We start from the raw sequence: 19,945 nt of genomic DNA, 5'->3' as shown, positions 1-19,945 counted from the left end.
TTGTTTGAGTTCTTTGTAGATTCTAGATATTAGCCCTTTGTCAGATAAGTAGATTGCAAAAATGTTCTCCCATTTTGTAGGTTGCCTGCTCACTCTGATGGTAGTTTCTTTTGCTGTGCAGAAGCTCTTTAGTTTAATTAGATCCCATTTGTCAATTTTGGCTTTTGTTGCCGTTACTTTTGGTGTTTTAGACATGAAGTCCTTGCCTATGCCTATGTCCTGAATGGTATTGCCTAGGTTTTCTTCTAGGGTTTTTATGGTTTTAGGTCTAACATTTAAGTCTTTAATCCATCTTGAATTAATTTTTGTATAAGGTGTAAGGAAGGGATCCAGTTTCAGCTTTCTACATATGGCTAGCCAGTTTTCCCAGCACCATTGGTCTGTATCTCTGTTTTGGTACCAGTACCATGCTGTTTTGGTTACTGTAGCCTTGTAGTATAGTTTGAAGTCAGGTAGCATGATGCCTCCAGCTTTGTTCTTTTGGCTTAGGATTGACTTGGCAATGTGGGCTCTTTTTTGGTTCCATATGAACTTTAAAGTAGTTTTTTCCAATTCTGTGAAGAAAGTCATTGGTAGCTTGATGGGGATGGCATTGGATCTATAAATTACCTTGGGCAGTATGGCCATTTTCATGATATTGATTCTTCCTATCCATGAGCATGGAATGTTCTTCCATTTATTTGTATCCTCTTTTATTTTGCTGAGCAGTGGTTTGTAGTTCTCTTTGAAGAGGTCCTTCACATCCCTTGTAAGTTAGATTCCTAGGTATTTTATTCTCTTTGAAGCAGTTGTGAATGGGAGTTCACTCATGATTTGGCTCTGTGTTTGTCTGTTATTGGTGTATAAGAATGCTTGTGATTTTTGCACATTGATTTTGTATCCTGAGACTTTGCTGAAGTTGCTTATCAGCTAAAGGAGATTTTGATCTGAGACGATGGGGTTTTCTAGATATACAATTATGTCATCTGCAAACAGGGACAATTTGACTTCCTCTTTTCCTAATTGAATACCCTTTATTTCTTTCTCCTGCCTGATTGCCCCGGCCAGAACTTCCAACGCTATGTTGAATAGGAGTGGTGAGAGAGGGCATCCCTGTCTTGTTCCAGTTTTCAAAGGGAATGCTTCCAGTTTTTGCCCATTCAGTATGATATTGGCTGTGGGTTTGTCATAGATAGCTCTTATTATTTTGAGATACATCCCATCAATACCTAATTTATTGAGAGTTTTTAGCATGAAGTGCTGTTGAATTTTGTCTAAGGCCTTTTCTGCATCTATTGAGATAATCATGTGGTTTTTGTCTTTGGTTCTGTTTATATGCTGGATTACGTTTATTGATTTGCATATGTTGAACCAGCCTTGCATCCCAGGGATGAAGCCCACTTGATCATGGTGGATAAGCTTTTTGATGTGCTGCTGGATTCAGTTTGCCAATATTTTATTGAGGATTTTTGCATCGATGTTCATCAGGGATATTGGTCTAAAATTCTCTTTTTTTGTTGTGTCTCTGCCAGGCTTTGGTATCAGGATGATGCTGGCCTCACAAAATGAGTTAGGGAGGATTCCCTCTTTTTCTATTGATTGGAATAGTTTCAGAAGGAATGGTACCAGCTCCTCCTTGTACCTCTGGTAGAATTCGGCTGTGAATCCATCTGGTCCTGGAGTTTTTTTGGTTGGTAAGCTATTAATTATTGCCTCAATTTCAGAGCCTGTTATTGGTCTATTCAGAGATTCAACTTCTTCCTGGTTTAGTCTTGGGAGGGTGTATGTGTCGAGGAATTTATCCATTTCTTCTAGATTTCCTAGTTTATTTGCATAGAGGTGTTTATAGTATTCTCTGATGGCAGTTTGTATTTCTGTGGGATCAGTGGTGATCTCCCCTTTATCATTTTTTATTGTGTCTATTTGATTCTTCTCTCTTTTCTTCTTTATTAGTCTTGCTAGCGGTCTATCCATTCTGTTGATCTTTTCAAAAAGCCAGCTCCTGGATTCATTGATTTTTTGAAGGTTTTTTTGTGTCTCTATCTCCTTTAGTTCTGCTCTGATCTTGGTTATTTCTTGCCTTCTGCTAGCTTTTGGATGTGTTTGCTCTTGCTTCTCTAGTTCTTTTAATCGTGATGTTAGGATGTGAATTTTAGATCTTTCCTGCTTTCTCTTTTGGGCATTTAGTGCTATAAATTTCCCTCTACACACTGCTTTAAATGTGTCCCAGAGATTCTGGTATGTTGTGTCTTTGTTCTTGTTGGTTTCAAAGAACATCTTTATTTCTGCCTTCATTTCATTATGTACTCAGTAGTCATTCAGGAGCAGGTTGTTTGGTTTCCATGTAGTTGAGCGGTTTTGAGTGATTTTCTTAATCCTGAGTTCTAGTTTGATTGCACTGTGGTCTGAGAGACAGTTTGTTGTAATTTCTATTCTTTTACATTTGCTGAGGAGTGTTTTACTTCCAACTATGTGGTCAGTTTTGGAATAGGTGTGGTGTGGTGCTGAGAATAATGTGTATTCTGTTGATTTGGGGTGGAGAGTTCTGTAGAGGTCTGTTAGGTCGACTTGGTGCAGAGCTGAGTTCAATTCCTGGATATCCTTGTTAACTTTCTGTCTCGTGGATCTGTCTAATGTTGACAGTGGGGTGTTAAAGTCTCCCATTATTTTTGTGTGGGAGTCTAAGTCTCTTTGTAGGTCTGTAAGGACTTGCTTTATGAATCTGGGTGCTCCTGTATTGGGTGCATATATATTTAGGATAGTTAGCTCTTTTTGTTGAATTTCTCTCTTTACCATTATGTAATGGCCTTCTTTGTCTCTTTTGATCTTTGTTCGTTTAAAGTCTGCTTTATCAGAGACTAGGATTGCAACCCCTGCCTTTTTTTCTTTTCCATTTGCTTGGTAGATCTTCCTCCGTCCCTTTATTTTGAGCCTATGTGTGTCTCTGCACGTGAAATGGGTTTCCTGAATACGGCACACCGATGGGTCTTGACTCTTTATCCAATTTGCCAGTCCGGTGTCTTTTAATTGGAGCATTTATCCCGTTTACATTTAAGGTTAATATTGTTATGTGTGAATTTGATCCTGTCATTATGATGTGAGCTGGTTATTTTGCTCGTTAGTTGATGCTGTTTCTTCGTAGCCTTGATGGTCTTTACAATTTGGCATGTTTTTGCAGTGGCTGGTACCGGTTGTTCCTTTCCGTGTTTAGTGCTTCCTTCAGGAGCTCTTGTAGGGCAGGCCTGGTTGTGACAAAACCTCTCAGCATTTGTTTGTCTGGAAAGGATTTTATTTCTCCTTCACTTATGAAGCTTAGTTTGGCTGGATATTAAATTCTGGGTTGAAAATTCTTTTCTTTAAGAATGTTGAATATTGGCCCCCACTCTCTTCTGGCTTGTAGAGTTTCTGCCGAGAGATCAGCTGTGAGTCTGATAGGCTTTTCTTTGTGGGTAACCTGACCTTTCTCTCTGGCTGCTTGTTTGTTTTCATAATGATACCTTTTAAAGAGCAGAAGTTTTTAATTTTCATGATGTCTAATTTACAATTTTTTTTTTCCTTTTTGGTTGTGCTTTTTGTGTGCTAAGAAACCTGTCCTTACTCCCAAATCACAAAGATTTTCTGCTTTGTGCTGAAGTTTTATAGGCTTAACTTTTATGATTAGGCCTATGATCCATTTCATGTTAATTTTGTTGTTGTTATTCATATTTTCACCTGGTCCCCTAACTTTTTGTTTTAAGCTTAAGTTATTTTACTTTTTAACTTTTATTTTAGGTTTGGGGTACATGTAAAGGTTTGTTACAAAGATAAACACGTGTCATGAGGGTTTGTTGTATATATTATTACATCATTCAGGTATTAAGCTTGGTACCCAATAGTTATCTTTTCTGCTCTTCTCCCCCCTGCCACCCTCCCCACTCAGGTAGACCCCATTGTCTGCTGTTTCCTTCATTGTGTTCATAAATTCTTATTATTTAGCTCCCACTTATAAGTGAGAACATGTAGTATTTGGTTTTCTGTTCCTGTGTTAGTTTGCTATGGATGATAGCCTCCAGCTCCATCCGTGTTCCCATGAAAGACATGATCTCATTCTCTTTCGTGGATGCTTAATACTCCATGATGTATATGTACCATATTTTCTTTAGCCAGTCTGTCATTGATGTGCCTTTAGGTTGATTCCAAGTCTTTGCTATTGTAAACAGTGTGCAATGAACGTTTGCATGCATGTGTTTTTATGGTAGAATGCTTTATATTCCTCTGGGTAAAGGCACCCAGTAAAGGGATTGCTGGATTGGATGGTAGTTCTGCTTTTAGTTCTTTGAGGAATCACCATACTGCTTTCCACAATGGTTGAACTAATTTACACTCCCACCAACAGTGTATAGGGTTCCCCTTTCTACACAACCTTGCCAGCTAGCATCTGTTATTTTTTGACTTTCTTATAATAGCCATTCTGACTAGTGTGAGATGGTATCTCATGGTTTTGATTTGCATTTCTCTAATGATCAGTGATATTGAGCTTTTTTTATATGCTTTTTGGTTGCATTTATGTCTTCTTTTGAAAAGTGTCTGTTCATGTCCTTTGCCCATGTTTTAATGGGGTTGTTTGTTTTTCTCTTGTAAATTTGTTTAAGTTCCTTATAGATGCTGGATATTAGACCTTCGTCAGATGCACAGTTTGCAAATGTTTTCTCCCATTCTTTAGGTTGTCTATTTACTCTGTTGGTAGTTTCTTTTGCTGTGCAGAAGCTCTTAAGTTTAATTAGATCCCATTTGTCAATTTTTGCTTTTGTTGGAATTGCTTTTGGTGTCTTTGTCATGAAATCTTTGCCCATTCCTAGGTCCAGGATGGTATTGCCTAGATTGTCTTCCAGGGTATTTATAGTTTTGAGTTTTACATGTAACTCTTTAATACTTCTTGAGTTGATTTTTGTATATGGTGTAAGGACGGGGTCCAGCTTCAATCTTCTGCATATGGCTAGCTGGTTATCCCAGTACCATTTATAGAATATGAAGTCTTTTCCCCATTGCTTCTTTTTTTCAGCTTTGTCAAAGATCAGGTGCTCATAGATGTGTGGCCTTATTTCTGGGCTGTCTACTTTGTTCCATTGTTCTATGTGCCTGTTTTTGTACCAGCACCATGTTGTTTTGGTCACCGTAGCCTCATAGTATGGTTTGAAGTCGAGTAATGTGATTCCTCCAGCTTTGTTCTTTTTGCTTAGGATTGCCTTGGCTATTTGGGCTCTTTTTTGGTTCCATATAAATTAAAAAAAATTTTTTTCTAGTTATGTGAAGAATGCCATTGGTAGTTTGATAGGAATAGCATTGAATCTGTAAATTGCTTTGGGTAGTATAGCCATTTTAATGATATTGATTCTTCCTATCCATGAGCATGAGATGTTTTTCTATTTGCTTGTGTCTTCTCTGATTTCTTTGAGCAGTGTTTTGTAATTCTCATTGTAGAGACCATTCACATCCCTGGTTAGCTGTATTCCTGGATATTTTATTTTTGCAGCTATTGTGAATGGGATTGCTTTTCTGATTTGGCTCTCAGTTTGGTTGTTGTTGGTGTATAGGAATACTAGTGATTTTTGTATAATGATTTTGTATCCTGCAACTTTGCTGAAGTTGTTTATCAGTTGAAGGAGTGTTTGGTCTGAGACTATGGGGTTTTCTAGGTATAGAATCTGCAAACAGAGATAGTTTGATTTCCTCTCTTCCTATTTGGATGCCCTTTATTTCTTTTTATTGCCTGATTGCTCTGGCCTGGACTTCCAATACTATGTTGAATAAAAGTGGTGAGAGAGGGCATCCTTGTCTTGAGCCAGTTTTCGAGGGGAATGCTTCCAGCTTTTGCCCATTTGGTCTAATGTTGTCTGTGGGTTTGTCATAGATGGCTCTTACTATTTTGAGCTTTGTTCCTTCAATACCTAGTTTATTGAGAGTTTTTAACATGAAGGGATGTTGAATTTTATCAAAAGTCTTTCTACATTTATTGAGATAATCATGTGGTTTTTGTCTTTAGTTCTGTATGTGATGAATCACGTTTATTGATTTTCATATGTTGAACCAACCTTGCATCCTGAGGGTGAAGCCTACTTGATCATAGTGGATTAGCTTTTTGATTTGCTGCTGGATTTGGTTTGTAGGTATTTTGTTGAGAATATTTGCATTAATGTTCATCAAGGATATTGATTGGCCTGAAGTTTTCTTTTTTTGTTGTGTCTCTGCCAGGTTTTGGTATTAAGCTGATGATGGCCTCATAGAATGAGTTGGGGAGAAGTCCTTCCTCCTAAATTTTTTTTTTTTTTTTTTTTTTTTTTTTTTTTTTTTTTTTTTTTTTGAGACGGCGTCTTGCTCTGTTGCCCGGGCTGGAGTGCAATGGTGTGATCTCAGCTCACTGCAACCTCCGCTTCCCGGGTTCAAGCAATTCTCCTGCCTCAGCCCCCTGAGTAGCTGAGACTACAGGCATCTGCCACCATGCCCAGCTAATTTTTATACTTTTAACAGAGATGGGGTTTCACCATGTTGGCCAGAATGGTCTTGATCTCTTGACCTTGTGATCTGTCCACCTCGGCCTCCCAAAGTGCTGGGATTACAGGCGTGAGCCACACCGTGCCCGGCCTCTTCCTCCTAAATTTTTTAGAATAGTTCCTGTAGGGATGGTACCAGCTCTTCTTTGTATATCTGGTAGAATTCGGCTATGACTCCATCAGGTCCTGGGCTTTTTTTGATTGGCAGGCTATTTATTACTGATTCAATTTCAGAGCTTGTTATTGGTCTGTTCAGGGAATTGATTTCTTCTTGGCTCAGTCTTGGGAAGGTGTATGTGTCCAGGAATTTATCCATCTCTTCCATATTTTCTAGTTTGTGTGCGTAGTGGTGTTCATAGTAGTTTCTGATGGTTGTTTTTATTTCTGTCAGCTCAGTAGTAACATTCTCTTCATCATTTCTAATTGTGTTTATTTGGATCTTCTCTCTTAATTAGTGTAGATTGGCCTGTTTTATTAATTTTTTTTTTTTGCAAAAAACCAACCCCTGGATTTGTTGATCTTTTGAATGTTTTTGAATTCTTGATTTTCAGCTCTGATTTTTGTTATTTCTTCTGCTAGCTTTGCAGTTGATTTGTTCTGCTTCTCTATTTCTTTCAGTTGTGAAGTTAGGTCGTTAATTTGAGATCTTTGTAACTTTTTGATTTGGACATTTAGTGCTATGAATTTCCCTTAACACTGCCTTAGCTGTGTTCCAGAGATTCTGGTATGTTGTATCTTTGTTCTCATTATTTTCAAAGAGCTTCTTGATTTCTGCCTTAATTTTATTATTTACTCAAAAGTCATTCAGGACCATGTTGTTTAATTTCCATGTAATTTTATGGTTTTGAGCAATTTTCATTGTGTTGACTTCAATTTTTATTGCCCTGCACTCCAAGAGTGTGTTTGGTATGACTTTGGTTCTTTTAGATATGTTGAGGATTGTTTTTATGTCCAATTATGTGGTCAATTTTAGAGTATGTGCCATGTGGCGATGAGAAGAATGTATATTCTGTTGTTTTTGGGTGGAGACTTCTGTAAAGGTCTATCAGATCCATTTGGTCCAGTGCTGAATTTAGGTCTGGAATATCTTTGTTAATTTTCTGCCTTGATGATCTGTCTAATACTATCAGTGGTGTGTTGAAGTCTCTCACTATTATTGTCTGGAATCTATGTCTCTTTGTAGGTCTCTAAGAACTTGCTTTATGAATCTGGGTGCTCCTGTCTTGGGTGCATATATATTTAGGACAGTTAGGTCTTCTTGTTGAATTGAACCCTTTACCATTAAGGTAATGCCTTCTTTGTCTTTTTTGGTTTGAAATCTGTTTTGTCTGAAATTAGGATTGCAACCCTTGCTTTTTTCTGTTTTCCATTTGCTTGGTAGCTTTTTCTCCATCCCTTATTTTGAGCCTGTGAGTGTCATTATGTGTGAGATGGGTCTCTTGAAGACAGCATACCATTGGGTCTTGCTTTTTTATCCAGCTTGCCACTGTGCCTTTTAAGTTGGACATTTGGCCTGTTTACATTCAAGGTTAGTATTGACATGTGTGGATTTGATCCTGTCATTGTGCTGTGAGCTGGTTATTATATTGGCTTGTTTGTGTGGTTGCTTTATAGTGACACTGGTCTCTGTGTTTGTGTTTTTGTACCAGCTGCTAGAGGTCTTTCCTTTCTATATTTAGTGTTCCTTTTCATGATCTCTTGTAAGCAGATCTGGTGGAAATGAAGTCCCTCAACATTTGCTTATCTGAAAAGGATCTTATTTCTCCTTCACTTGGGAAGCTTAGTTTGGCTGAATATGAAATTCTTGGTTGAAGATTTTTTTCTTTATGATGTTGAACATAGGCCCCCAATCTCTTCTGGCTTGTAGGCTTTCAGTTGACAGGTCTGCTGTTAGCCTGATGGGGATCCCTTTGTAGGTGACCTGCACTGTCTCTCTGTCTGCCTTTAACATTCTTTCTTTCATTTCAACCTTGGAAAATCTGATGATTATGTGTCTTGGGGATGATCTTCTTGTGCAGAATTTTATAGGAATTCTCTGTATTTCCTGAATTTGACTGCTGGCCTCCCTAGCAAGATTGAGAAATTTGGTAGATGATATCCTGAAATATATTTTCTAATTTGTTTGCTTTCTCCCCCTTTCTGTCAGGAATGCCAGTGATTCATAGATTTGGCCCCTTTGCATAATCCCCTACTTCTCAGAGGTTTTGTTCATTCTTTTGTATTCTTTTTTCTTTATTTTTGTCTGATTGTCTTATTTCAGAGAACCAGTCTTCAAGTTCTGAGATTCTTTCCTCAGTTTGGTTTATTCTGCTGTTAATACTTGTGATTACATTGTGAAATTCTTGTATTGTGTTATTCAGCTCTGTCAGACCTGTTAGGTTCGTTTTGATACCAGCTATTTCATCCTTCAGCTCCTGTATCACTTTATTGTGATTCTTATTTTCCTTGGATTTGGTTTTGCCATCTTACTGAATCTTGATGATCTTTGTTCCTATCCATATTCTGAATTCTATTTCTATCATTCCAGCCAGTTAAGCCTGGTTAAGAACTCTTGTTGGAGAACTGGTGCAGTCGTTTGGAGGACACTCTGACCATTGGAGTTACTGGAGTTCTTGCATTGGTTCTTTCTCATCTCTGCACGTGGATGTTTCTTTAACTGCAGTGTAGATTGAGTACAGTCAATAGGCTTCTTTTCTGGATGTTTTCACTGGGCTGAGGCTTTATGTAGGGTCTTTATTTGAAAGTGACTTCTTGTCTCTGGTTTCAGAGTCAGGGTATGTTAGTGAGGTATTTTTGGTGTTGAAGTTTTGGGGTGTGATCCAGCAGGTGACACTTAGGCTTATTGGTCAGTTGGTAGATTCTTGCTCAGTTGTGTGGCTCCCCTATGGTTCCTCATAGTTGCAGCCATGTTCCCTTTCAGTGCTCTGAAGGTGTGGGTTCCTCTACCCCTTGAGTGCTGGCTGTAATTCACAACTTGGCACTCCTGAGCTGCCTACTGCAGCTCTGGGGCAATCTCAGTGTTTATGTTCCTTCCCCATCATAGAGTCAGCAGAGGAAGATATCTTATTAGTGGTTGTGGCCAAAGGTCATTTGCTTGACTCCTGAGGGCTCCACCCCAGAGAAATGCAGGTCAGGAATCACTCAGTGCAGTCAGCCCAAGCCAGGGGTTCCCTGTCTGGTGACGAGCCATGGGGAGTGTGTGCAACCCATGGGAGATGGACTGGCCTCCTCTCCTTGGGTCGACTGCACTTGTTGGAGTTGTGGATAAGGAACTTAGGGTCTTTGCTCCTTCGTTAGTCCAAGGGTGGCAAGGGCAGTTTCACTGCAGAGGCAGTGGCAGAGAGGCTTTCAGCTGCCGCTGGAGGCTCTGTCCAGGGAGTTGCTGAGTTAGTACTGGCTTGACAGCTCTGGGTCGGGGGTGGCTGGAGGCCCAGGCCTTGTGGACCTGCTTTTTAGTTTTCAATGACTCAGTCTTACCCATGTTTTAAGTTTATCCCTAAATATTTCACATTTTTGATGCAATTATAAGGAGTCTTTTAAAATTTTCATCTTCCAATTTTGATAACTATTACATAGAAATACAATTGATTTGTATATATTGACCTTGTAGCCTTGATGAATTCATTTGTTAGCTACATTAGCTATATTATAGATTCCTTGGAATGTTCTACATACCTAACATGTCTTTATGAATAAAGAGAGTTTTCTTTCTTCCTTTCCAAACTGTATGTCTTTTATATCTTTCTCTTGCCTTATTGCACTTGCTAAACTTTCAGTACACACAAACTGTGAGAATAAACATTCTTTATATACAGCTTTTTAGTCTTTCACCATGAAGTGTGAAGATTGATGTAGATTTTTATACTTTTTTTTAATTAAATTGAGAAAGTTCCCTTACTAGTCTGAACACCTGTTTATTATGAATGGGTGTTGAATTTTGTTAATTGTAGTTCCTGCATCTATGAGATAATATTTCTCTTTTATTCTGTTTGTATGGTAAGTTACATTTATTTTTCAGATACTAAATCAACTGCATTTCTGGGATAAACCCTACTTACTCATGATGATTATCCATTTTAGATATTGCTTGATTCCATTTGTTAACATTTTATGAAGGATTTTTGTGTCTGTGTTCATGAGGGATATTGGCCTATAGTTTCCTTTTCTTGTAATATCTTTGGTTTTCAAGTCATGATATGTTGCCCTCATAAAAAATGTTGAGAAGTATTTTCACTTACTCTTTTCAATATAGTTTCTATAGATTTGGTGTCATGTCTTTCTATAATGTTTAAAAGAGCTCACAAATAAAATCACTTAGGCCTACAGTTTTTTTGCGGGGTAGTTTTTAATTACTAATTCAGTTTTAAAAATAGCTATTGTGTAAATATTATGAATTATATCACATTTGATAGTGTGGTTTGATTAAATCAGGATCCAAAAAAGTCCATTAATTGAATCTATTGCTATGTCTTTTCATCCTTTATAATCTGTGACTTCCCATTCCTCTTTTTTTTTTTTCCAACTTATCTTTAAAGGAACTGGCTCATTTGTCCTTTAGAATTTTCCACATTTTATATTTTGCCTATGGCATTGTACCTGATGTCATTACTGTTTTTTCTGTTCCTATATTTCCTCTTAATTGGACTTAGATCTAGAGGCTTGATCAGATTCATTCAATTTTTCGGCAAGAATACATCATGGGTGGCCATGGGTACATTACTAGAAGTTAAATATTTCTTGCTATTTATTTCTCTTTGTAATGTCAGAAGCCATTGACTATGATTGTCTAGATCCATTATTTCATTAGTGGCTACAAACGTGATAATTCTGTTACTCTTTTGGTACGAGAAAACTTTAAAGAAAAACTTTCCCTCATCAACTATTTTCTTATGCTGGAAAAACTACAGAGTAAAGGCCGTTTATATAATAAACGCTTTGTTCTTTGTCTTCTTACCACTTTTCAAAATAATTAGTTGTCTCCCTAGACTCCTCCAAAGGTGACCAATGAGGTGTTTTGTTTTGTCGTATCATAAAGTAATGCATTGAGATATAATTGATGTGTTTCAATCTCGGCAGTTACTGTTTTCATTGATGGCATATACATCCTGAACTTTAGTTCACTTTTCAAAGTGGTTGTATCAATTTTGTATTCCCAAGAACAGTATATTTTTTGAAGCATACTTGGTATTTTCATACTTTACATATTTTGCAAACATGTTTGGAGTATAAGGGTATATTATTGTGGTTTCACTGCTATTTCTTCATTTTTAAAAATTTAGGACATTAAGTACTGGTATACTGATGAGTATAACTATAACTTAGGTCTCTTGTATTTCCCCAATATATTTACTACTTCTTTCTTCATTCTCAGTATAATTATAATTTAGGTTTCAATCTATGTTTATGATGATGATGATGATTATTATTAAATTTTAGAGACAGGGTCTTGGTTTGTTGCCCAGGCTGGTGTCCAGTGGCACCATCTTAGCTCACTGTAACCTCAAATTCATGGCTCAGGAGATCTGCCTGCCTCAGTCTCCCGAGTAGCTAGGACTACAAGCACATGCCCCCATGCCTGGCTAATTTTTCATGGTTTTTTTTTTTTTTTTTTTTTTTTTTTGTAGAGACAGGGTCTCTCACTGTGTTGCCCAGACAGGTCTTGAACTCTGCAAGTGAGACCATGTGGTATTTGGTTTTCTGTTTCTGAGTTAGTTCACTTAGGACAATGGTCTCTAGTTCCATTTGTGCTACTGCAGAGGACATGATTTCATTCTTTTTTATGGCTGCACAAAAGGAGTTTGTGCAAGCAATCCTGTCTCAGCCTCCCAAAGCTTTAGGATTACAGGTGTGAGCCGCTGTACCTGACTGTATATTCATTATTTGATATGAGTATACTTATTACACATAATTTAGTTCACCTTGTATATTATGTTTATTTTGCCTTTTTTCCACCTCTCTTTGTTTTTCATGGAGTCAATAATTGCCTTTTTTAAATTCATTAGTTTCCTATGTATATTTTTACTAATTTTTCTAATAGAACTATAACACTCCCTTTGATTTTGCCAAACATCAAATAATCTATTACTTTTCCTTCTTTTTCTTTTTTCTTTGTTTTTTTGTTTTTTTTTTGAGATGGAATTTCGCTCGCTGCCCAGGCTAGAGTGCAATGGCATGATCTCAGCTCACCGCAACCTCCGCCTCCGGGGTTCAAGCAATTCTCTTGCCTCAGCCTCCCGAGTAGCTGGGATTACAGGCATGCGCCACCACGCCTGGCTAATTTTGCATTTTTAGTAGAGACAGGGTTTCTCCATGTTGGTTAGGCTGGTTTTGAACTCCTGACCTCAGGTGATCCGCCTGCCTCGGCCTTCCAAAGTGCTGGGATTACAGGCGTGAGCCACTGTGCCTGGCCTTTCTTTTTCTTTCTTTCTTTCTTTCTTTCTTTCTTTCTTTCTTTCTTTCTTTCTTTCTTTCTTTCTTTCTTTCTTTTCTTCTTTCTTTTTCTTTCTTTCTTTCTTTTCTTTCTTTCTTAATTTTTCTTCCTTTCTTTCTTTTCTTTCTTTCTCTTTCTTTCCTTCCTTCCTTCCTTTCTTTCTTTTTTCTTTCCTTTCTTTCTTTTCTCTTTCTTTCCTTCCTTCCTTCCTTTCTTTCTTTTCTTTCTTTCCTTCCTTCCTTTCTTTCCTTCTTTGTTTTCTCTTTCTTTCTCTCTTTCTTTCCCTTTCTCTTTCTCTCTTTCTCTCTCTCTCTTTCTTTCTCTCTTTCTCTCTTTCCTTCTTTCTTACCATGGGGACATCACAGAGACTTCCCTCCTGCCTCAGTATGGTTTCACTGTGCTCTTGCCCTATTGCAGAGCTGTTGCCTTGAGTTCTTGTTCATTGTTCTTGGAATTCTTTTTGCTCCTCCTTTGTATTAAATCCTGTTTCACCCCTTCTCAAGAAAGAGAAATACTTACCTAATTGTTCAGATTTTAGTGTGTAGAGTTGCTGTGGTTAAACGTTCTTAGGAAAAGTGACTGGTGTTCTCTTCTGTCCTTCTCTTCCATGGTGGGAAATGGGGTTGATGGCCTGGCAAGGTAAAGGGAATGGATAAATGATTGAATGGTAGAGATGTTGATAGAAGGACCAAAGACCCAGCTATCTTTCTCTCTTCCTTTCTGCCAAGGTACTTCCAGTTTGGGGCTAAAGCACCAGCTGTAGCCCAGAGAAACCCCACAGTAAGCAATGGGACCAAATGCTCTCTCTTGTTGTAAGCGTCTTGTTTTTTTGGGTTCTATTTCTCATGTGTCTGGATGACAATCTTGAGATCATAATTGCAGCATCTTAGATTCAGGCTTGGATGTAACGGGAGAAGGGCATGAGGTGGGGGCAGTATTGGAAGAAACCAAACATGGTTTGTTCTGAGACTAGTACAAGTACTTTAGGAAAACTGAATGTTTGTGTAATGGAAATTTTTCTGCATTAACATTTGAGGCCATATGGATAGCTAACAGTAAATATTACTGTGCCTTGATTTTTCCATGTCCCTTTTGTATTCATGCCCCTAGGAGAAAACTTGTGGAGAGGACTAGCTATGATTTGGGAAAGAACTCTTGAATTCTGTGGTCCCTTGGTCAAAGTACCATTTTATTTTTTATTTCATCATTTTATTTTAGATTCGGGGAGTACGTGTGTTTGTTACATGGGTATATTGCATACTGGTGGGGATTGGGTTTCTAGTGTACCCAGTACCCAAATAGTGAACATAGTACCCAGTAGGTTATTTTTCAACCCTTGCTCTCCCCCACCTCCCCACTTTTGGAGTCCCCAGCATCAGTTCCATCTTTATGACCATGTGTACCCATTGTATAGCTCTCATTTATAAGTGAGAACATGCAGTATTTGGTTTTCTGTTTCTGAGTTAGTTCACTTAGGACAGTGGTCTTTACCTTCATTCTATTGGTTCAAAGGATATGGACATGAATTCATTCTTTTTTATGACCGCACAAAGTACCATTTTTTTCTTTTTTCCGACGGAGTCTCCCTCTGTCGCCCAGGCTGGAGTTCAGTGGCCGATCTTGGCTCACTGCAACCTCCGCCTCCTGGGTTCAAGTGATTCTCCTGCCTCAGCCTCCTGAGTAGCTGGGCACACGGCACCATGCCTAGTTAATGTTTGTATTTATTTTTTATTTTTTTTGAGACAGTCTCGCTGTGTCGCCCAGGCTAGAGTTCAGTCGCACGATCTCGGCTCACTGCAACCCCCGCCTCCCGGGTTTAAACGATTCTCCTGCCTCACTCAGCCTCCCAAGTAGCTGGACTACAGGCACCCGCCACCATGCCTGTCTAATTTTTATATTTTTAGTGGAGATGAGGTTTCATTACGTTGGCCAGGCTGGTCTTAAACTCCTGACCTCGTGATCTGCCCTCCTCAGCCTCCCAAAGTGCTGGGATTACAGGTGTAAGCCACCACGCCTGGCCAATTTTTGTATTTTTAATAGAGACAGAGTTTCACCATGTTGGCCATCCTGGTCTCGAACTCTTGACCTCAAGTGATCCACTGCCTTGGCCTCCCAAAGTGTTGAGATTACAGGTGTGAGCCACTGTACCTGGCCTAAAGTACCATTTTAATAGTCCTGCAAATCTATCTTTTCTAACACACTTGATCTAATCGGTTAGATTGTCTCAAAGATTACAATATGGTGTTAAAATTACCTTCTTGTCTGTTATATCCTTTTGAGATGGTAGGATTTAATAGTAGCCAATTAGACAATCAGAACTTTCCTGTGTAGAAAATTTGAAGTTCTCTAAATGGTCTGGAACAAGTGTCCTATAGCAAGAAACAAAAAATAATCTTTGCATTGCATAGCTGTTAAGTTTTACAAATAAATATGGAATAGATGACTGAGCAATGCTGGAATTCATTTTTCTTGGTTGCTATTTTAAGAATAAATCAGGCTCAACAATGAAAAGGACACTTGCCCCCAAAATTCATTTGTTGAAGCCCTAACCCTCATTGTGACTATATTTGGAGAGAAGGCCTTTAAGAGAGTAATTAAGGTTAAATGAAGTCATAAGGGTGGGGCCCTAATCCAGTATGACTAGTGTCCTTATAAGGAGAGAGAGACATCAGGGATGTGCTCACCTGGAGAAAAGGCTATCTGAGGACACAGAAAGAAGGGAGCCATCTGCAAGTCAAGGAGAGGGGGCTCAAGAGAAACCAACCCTGCTGACACCTTGGTCTTGGACTGCCAGCCTCCACAACTGTGAGAAAATAAATGTCTGTTGTTTAAGCCACCCATCTGTGGTATTTTATGGCAGCCTTAGCTGACTAATGCAGATATATAACTCACTCAAAAAATGAACAAAATTTGCATTTAAAAATGTAAAAATGGCCGGGCATGGTGGCTCATGCCTGCAATCCTAGCATTTTGGGAGGCTGAGGTGGGCAGGCTGCTTGAAGCCAGGAGTTTGAGACCAACCATGGCCAACATGGCATGACATGTCTCTCCTAAAAACACAAAATTTAGCTGGGCATGGTGGTACACGCCTGTAATCTCAGCTAGTCAAGAGGCTGAGGCATGAGAATTGCTTGAACCTGGGAGGTGGAGGTTGCAGTGAGCTGAGATTGTGCCAATGCACTCTAGTCTGGGTGACAGAGCAAGACTCTGTCTCAAAAATAAAAAATAAAAAAATAAAAATAAAAATGGCAGTTAAAAAAACTGCAAAATTTAAAATATGCTCATTTTAGTAATAATTATTTGAGTCCTTTATATGTCACAAGCTAAGCATAATACTGTCTCCTCCATCACCCATACAAACTGGAGGCTTTGAGTAAAGTGTCATTCTCTACTAAGTGTATACAAGAGTTTGTACTTTTCTTGCAATATTTCTTTAAAATTATTTCACAATAAATTTTAAAAAAATATATAAAAGGATATAGATGATGACCTGAAACAACAAAAAAGCCCCCACAAGTTTTCCCAAACTGAGGATATGCAACTCAGATTGAATGTATATATTTATTATAATCTCCAAAATAATTTCACTTGGTACAACTGCTTCTTAAAACCATATCAATATCAGGCTCAGAATTTAATTACAACCAAGCAATTCACAAAAACACTGAGCAACAAAACATGCTTAATATTTCTTTGAGAAAGACCCTTCAAATATGTGTACAGCATCACTGGGAGTTACACAAAACTGTTACAAGGTGACCATTAAGTGCCCCAATTCTGCACTTCTGACATACATGAATGGCTAATGTAACCACGTTTGGGAATCTTTTTACATCTCAAAATAAAGCTTTCTGATGCAACTTGCCATCCTTTTAAATTTTAAAGGATATTCTTGGTAATTCCTTAGGAAAGTAAAACTACACACACTTTCAGAGAAACAATAAGCTGCTTAGATTTTTAAAATTTTTTATATTATACACTTCAATTATGGGTTATTTATTAAAGACTTCAAAAAATTTATGTTATGTTTTTAAAAGTACCAATTAGTGAGGGAAAAAGTTGAAAATATTCACCAGCATGTTAGGTTCTCCTGAAATCACAGTTTTCTGGATAAATAAATGTAATATCACTAAACAATTTTCACTATGTATTTTATACATAGCCTGGAAAGAACAGTATTTTGGACTGTAATTTTCACATCTTAAATAGTATTTTTTTCTTTATCCCTTTGATAATACTAAATTCTTTCTCTTAAAAATTTATATCTATTTTATAGATATCAATCTTACTATGAATTTTCAACTTTGACTCGAACTTGTTTATGAAAAATATCTAACATCTGCAACTTCAGCTGGTTATACTGGAAGGAGAGGGGTTGCGATAATTTTATTATACCTTGTATTAACAATAAACCTTCTCACAGAGAAGAAAATACTTTAAATACCTTAAATCGTATGTACAACAATAAAAATTCACATTTCATGCTTTAGTGAGACACTTAAATCATCCATAAGGCAGTCCTCATAGTTTATTGGAATAGAGCCTTTCTAATATCTGGGCCTCTGCTGTGTGCCAAATACGACAAAGCTCTGGATGTTATGACAGCAGCCAAACTTCTACCATCCTCCTATCTAGTAGAAAAACGGAGGGTAGGTCTTCGCAGCCATCAAGTTGTGACCACAATCCTCTGTCATAGTGGGGTAGCATCCGACGTGCTGCAGGCCTCAGGACCCACGTGAGTCAACTTGATTGTTTGAAAAGTGCTCAAAAGCCAGGATGTTCTCTAATGTGAGTTGTAGGATGATGATAGCCCTTCTGAGCACAGCTAAATGTGACATGTATGTGTCTATTGCACAGGATTTTATAAGGGTCCAGAAACAGTACTGTATTTCTTTCCTTGCCTATTATATACATTTTTCTGATAAGTTCAGTGTTTCACTGGGAAATGTGACTTGCAGGGAGCTCCCCTTAGGGGCAGGCCCAGCCCTGCCGCTCCCACCAGCCTCATCCACCAGTAAGACACTCTCTGAGTCCTGACCCTGTGAAGAGTCTGAGGTCTCTGATATTCGCAAAGTCCTCAGTGAGGTGGTGTCTTCCTGGGCCAGGCCCATGCCAGGCACACCTGGAAGCAAATTCCTGCCTCCAAGGCCATTTTCACTGAGGTCTGGCAGTGAGAGGTCTGGCAGGAGGGTCTGAGATGTACTGCTGATCTCCTTCAGCTCCCGGGAGATGAAGGAGCGAGAGTGGCCTGACATGGCAGAAGATGTCCTTTGACTGTCTGAGCAGTGCTGTCCGGAGCGCTCCCTGCGGGACCCGCCAATGCGGCAGAAGAGGCATTTGATCTTCTCTATTGCTTTACTGAGCACTGTCTTTCTCAGGAGGATATATATCCAGGGGTCTAGGATGGGGTTCACAGAAGCAATTCGGATGGCCTGCAAATCTGGATTTTTACTGACTTCTCGCTCCAAACTTGGCTGATATAACTGGTTGACGAATACTCGCACCTGCATAAGTGAGATCGCACATTTAGATTTCATCATTAATCAATTGGGAAAACATATAAATGCTATGTCTACCTTATCAATATTAGGAAGCTGCCTTCATTTCTGGTAACAAGTTCCAGGAAAAGAGGAAGCTACATAATAAGCCTCAGAAAAACCAGTCATGGGCTGGGCACGGTGGCTCACGCCTGTAATCCCAGCACTTTGGGAGGCCGAGGTGGGAGGATCACTTGAGGTCAGGAGTCCGAGACCAACTTGTCCAACATGGCGAAACCCCATCTCTACTAAAAATACAAACATTAGGCTGGGTGCGGTGGCTCACGCCTGTAATCCCAGCATTTTGGTAGGCCGAGGTAGGCGGATCACTAGGTCAAGAGATTGAGAACCTCCTGGCCAACATGGTGAAACCCCATCTCTACTAAAAATACAAAAATTAGCTGGGTGTGGTGGCATGCGCCTGTAGTCCCAGCTACTCGGGAGGCTGAGGCAGGAGAATCATTTGAACCTGGGAGGCGGAGGTTGCAGTGAGCTGAGATCCCACCACTGCACTCCAGCCTGGCGACAGAGCGAGACTCCGTCTCAAAAAAACAAAAATTAGCCAGGTGTGGCGGCACACGCCTATAATCCCAGCTACTCAGGAGGGTGAGGCAGGAGAATGGCTTGAATGCGGCGGGTGGAGGTTGCAGTGAGCTGAGATGATGCCACTGCACTCCAGCCAGGGCAACAGAGCAAGAATCTGTTTAAAAATAAAAAATAAAAAAATAAAAACCAGTCACTGCAAAAATGCAATTACATGTTCTGAGTTCGTATAGCTTTAATATTTTTGTAACTATCTTATGATTATCTTCCCTAGAGCAAAGACAGTATACAAAAATGCAATGTGAGTGCAGGTCACATATGTATAAAGTGTTCTTGAGAAGCACTTTATTAACTTCATTTCTGTGAGTGCTTTTAAGTTTTTGTAATTCTAATGAAGTAACTTTTTTCCCCCAAAAGCTACTGATTTCTTATTCCAGCTGTCATTTTACATAATTTAAAGGAAACTCATTTTATAAGTCAATTAACCATCTAATCACCAGAATAAGGCCAAGATTCTTTTATTCTAGTCTAGAAAGAATATGCTGAAAAGTTTTACACCAACAGCAGGATCTCCTGTTACCCAGAATGACCAGAGAATAGTTTTTATTTTCTCTATGACTCTGTTCCCCAGTTATAGTAATCACAACGGATGAATGAGAATTTGCTAAATTTAGAAGGAAAGACATCACATTTCAAATAGAGGTAGCTCCATGTGCAAAGTCATGGAAGAATGAAATGATATGTCAACATCTGGGAACTTCAAATGATTCAGCGAATGGAGCATGAATTTGTGTAAACTTACATGATCATTTTAATCCTTAGGGGAAAATGCATTTGTTAAATGTACATGTATATATATTTTTGAGACAGGGTCTCACTCTGTCGCCCAGGCTGGAGTGCAGTGGTGTAATCATTGCTCACTGCAG

The 19,945-nt window shown here is 38.8% G+C and overlaps 1 protein-coding gene across 5 annotated transcripts in view; it reads right to left on the bottom strand.

Annotated features, from left to right (window-relative positions):
* Nucleotides 1-19,945, bottom strand: part of PTGER4 (prostaglandin E receptor 4) — a 66,886-nt gene that overhangs the window by 36,579 nt on the left and 10,362 nt on the right. For 3 of the 5 annotated variants that reach the window (XM_047417413.1, XM_047417414.1, NM_000958.3), the window contains one exon: nucleotides 16,487-18,443. In XM_047417413.1, coding sequence (XP_047273369.1) covers nucleotides 18,350-18,443 — 94 coding nt within the window. In that variant the 3' untranslated portion in view covers nucleotides 16,487-18,349. Of the gene's footprint in view, nucleotides 1-12,955; nucleotides 13,571-16,486; nucleotides 18,444-19,945 lie in introns of those variants that run through there. The other 2 variants (XM_017009659.3, XM_047417415.1) reach the window with 2 other exon arrangements.

This window comes from Homo sapiens, chromosome 5, assembly GCF_000001405.40.
Source record: "Homo sapiens chromosome 5, GRCh38.p14 Primary Assembly".
In the NCBI taxonomy this organism is placed as follows: Eukaryota; Metazoa; Chordata; class Mammalia; order Primates; family Hominidae; genus Homo; species Homo sapiens.
The sequence above is the reverse complement of the archived record's forward strand: the minus strand, read 5'-3'. Positions and strand labels throughout refer to the sequence as shown.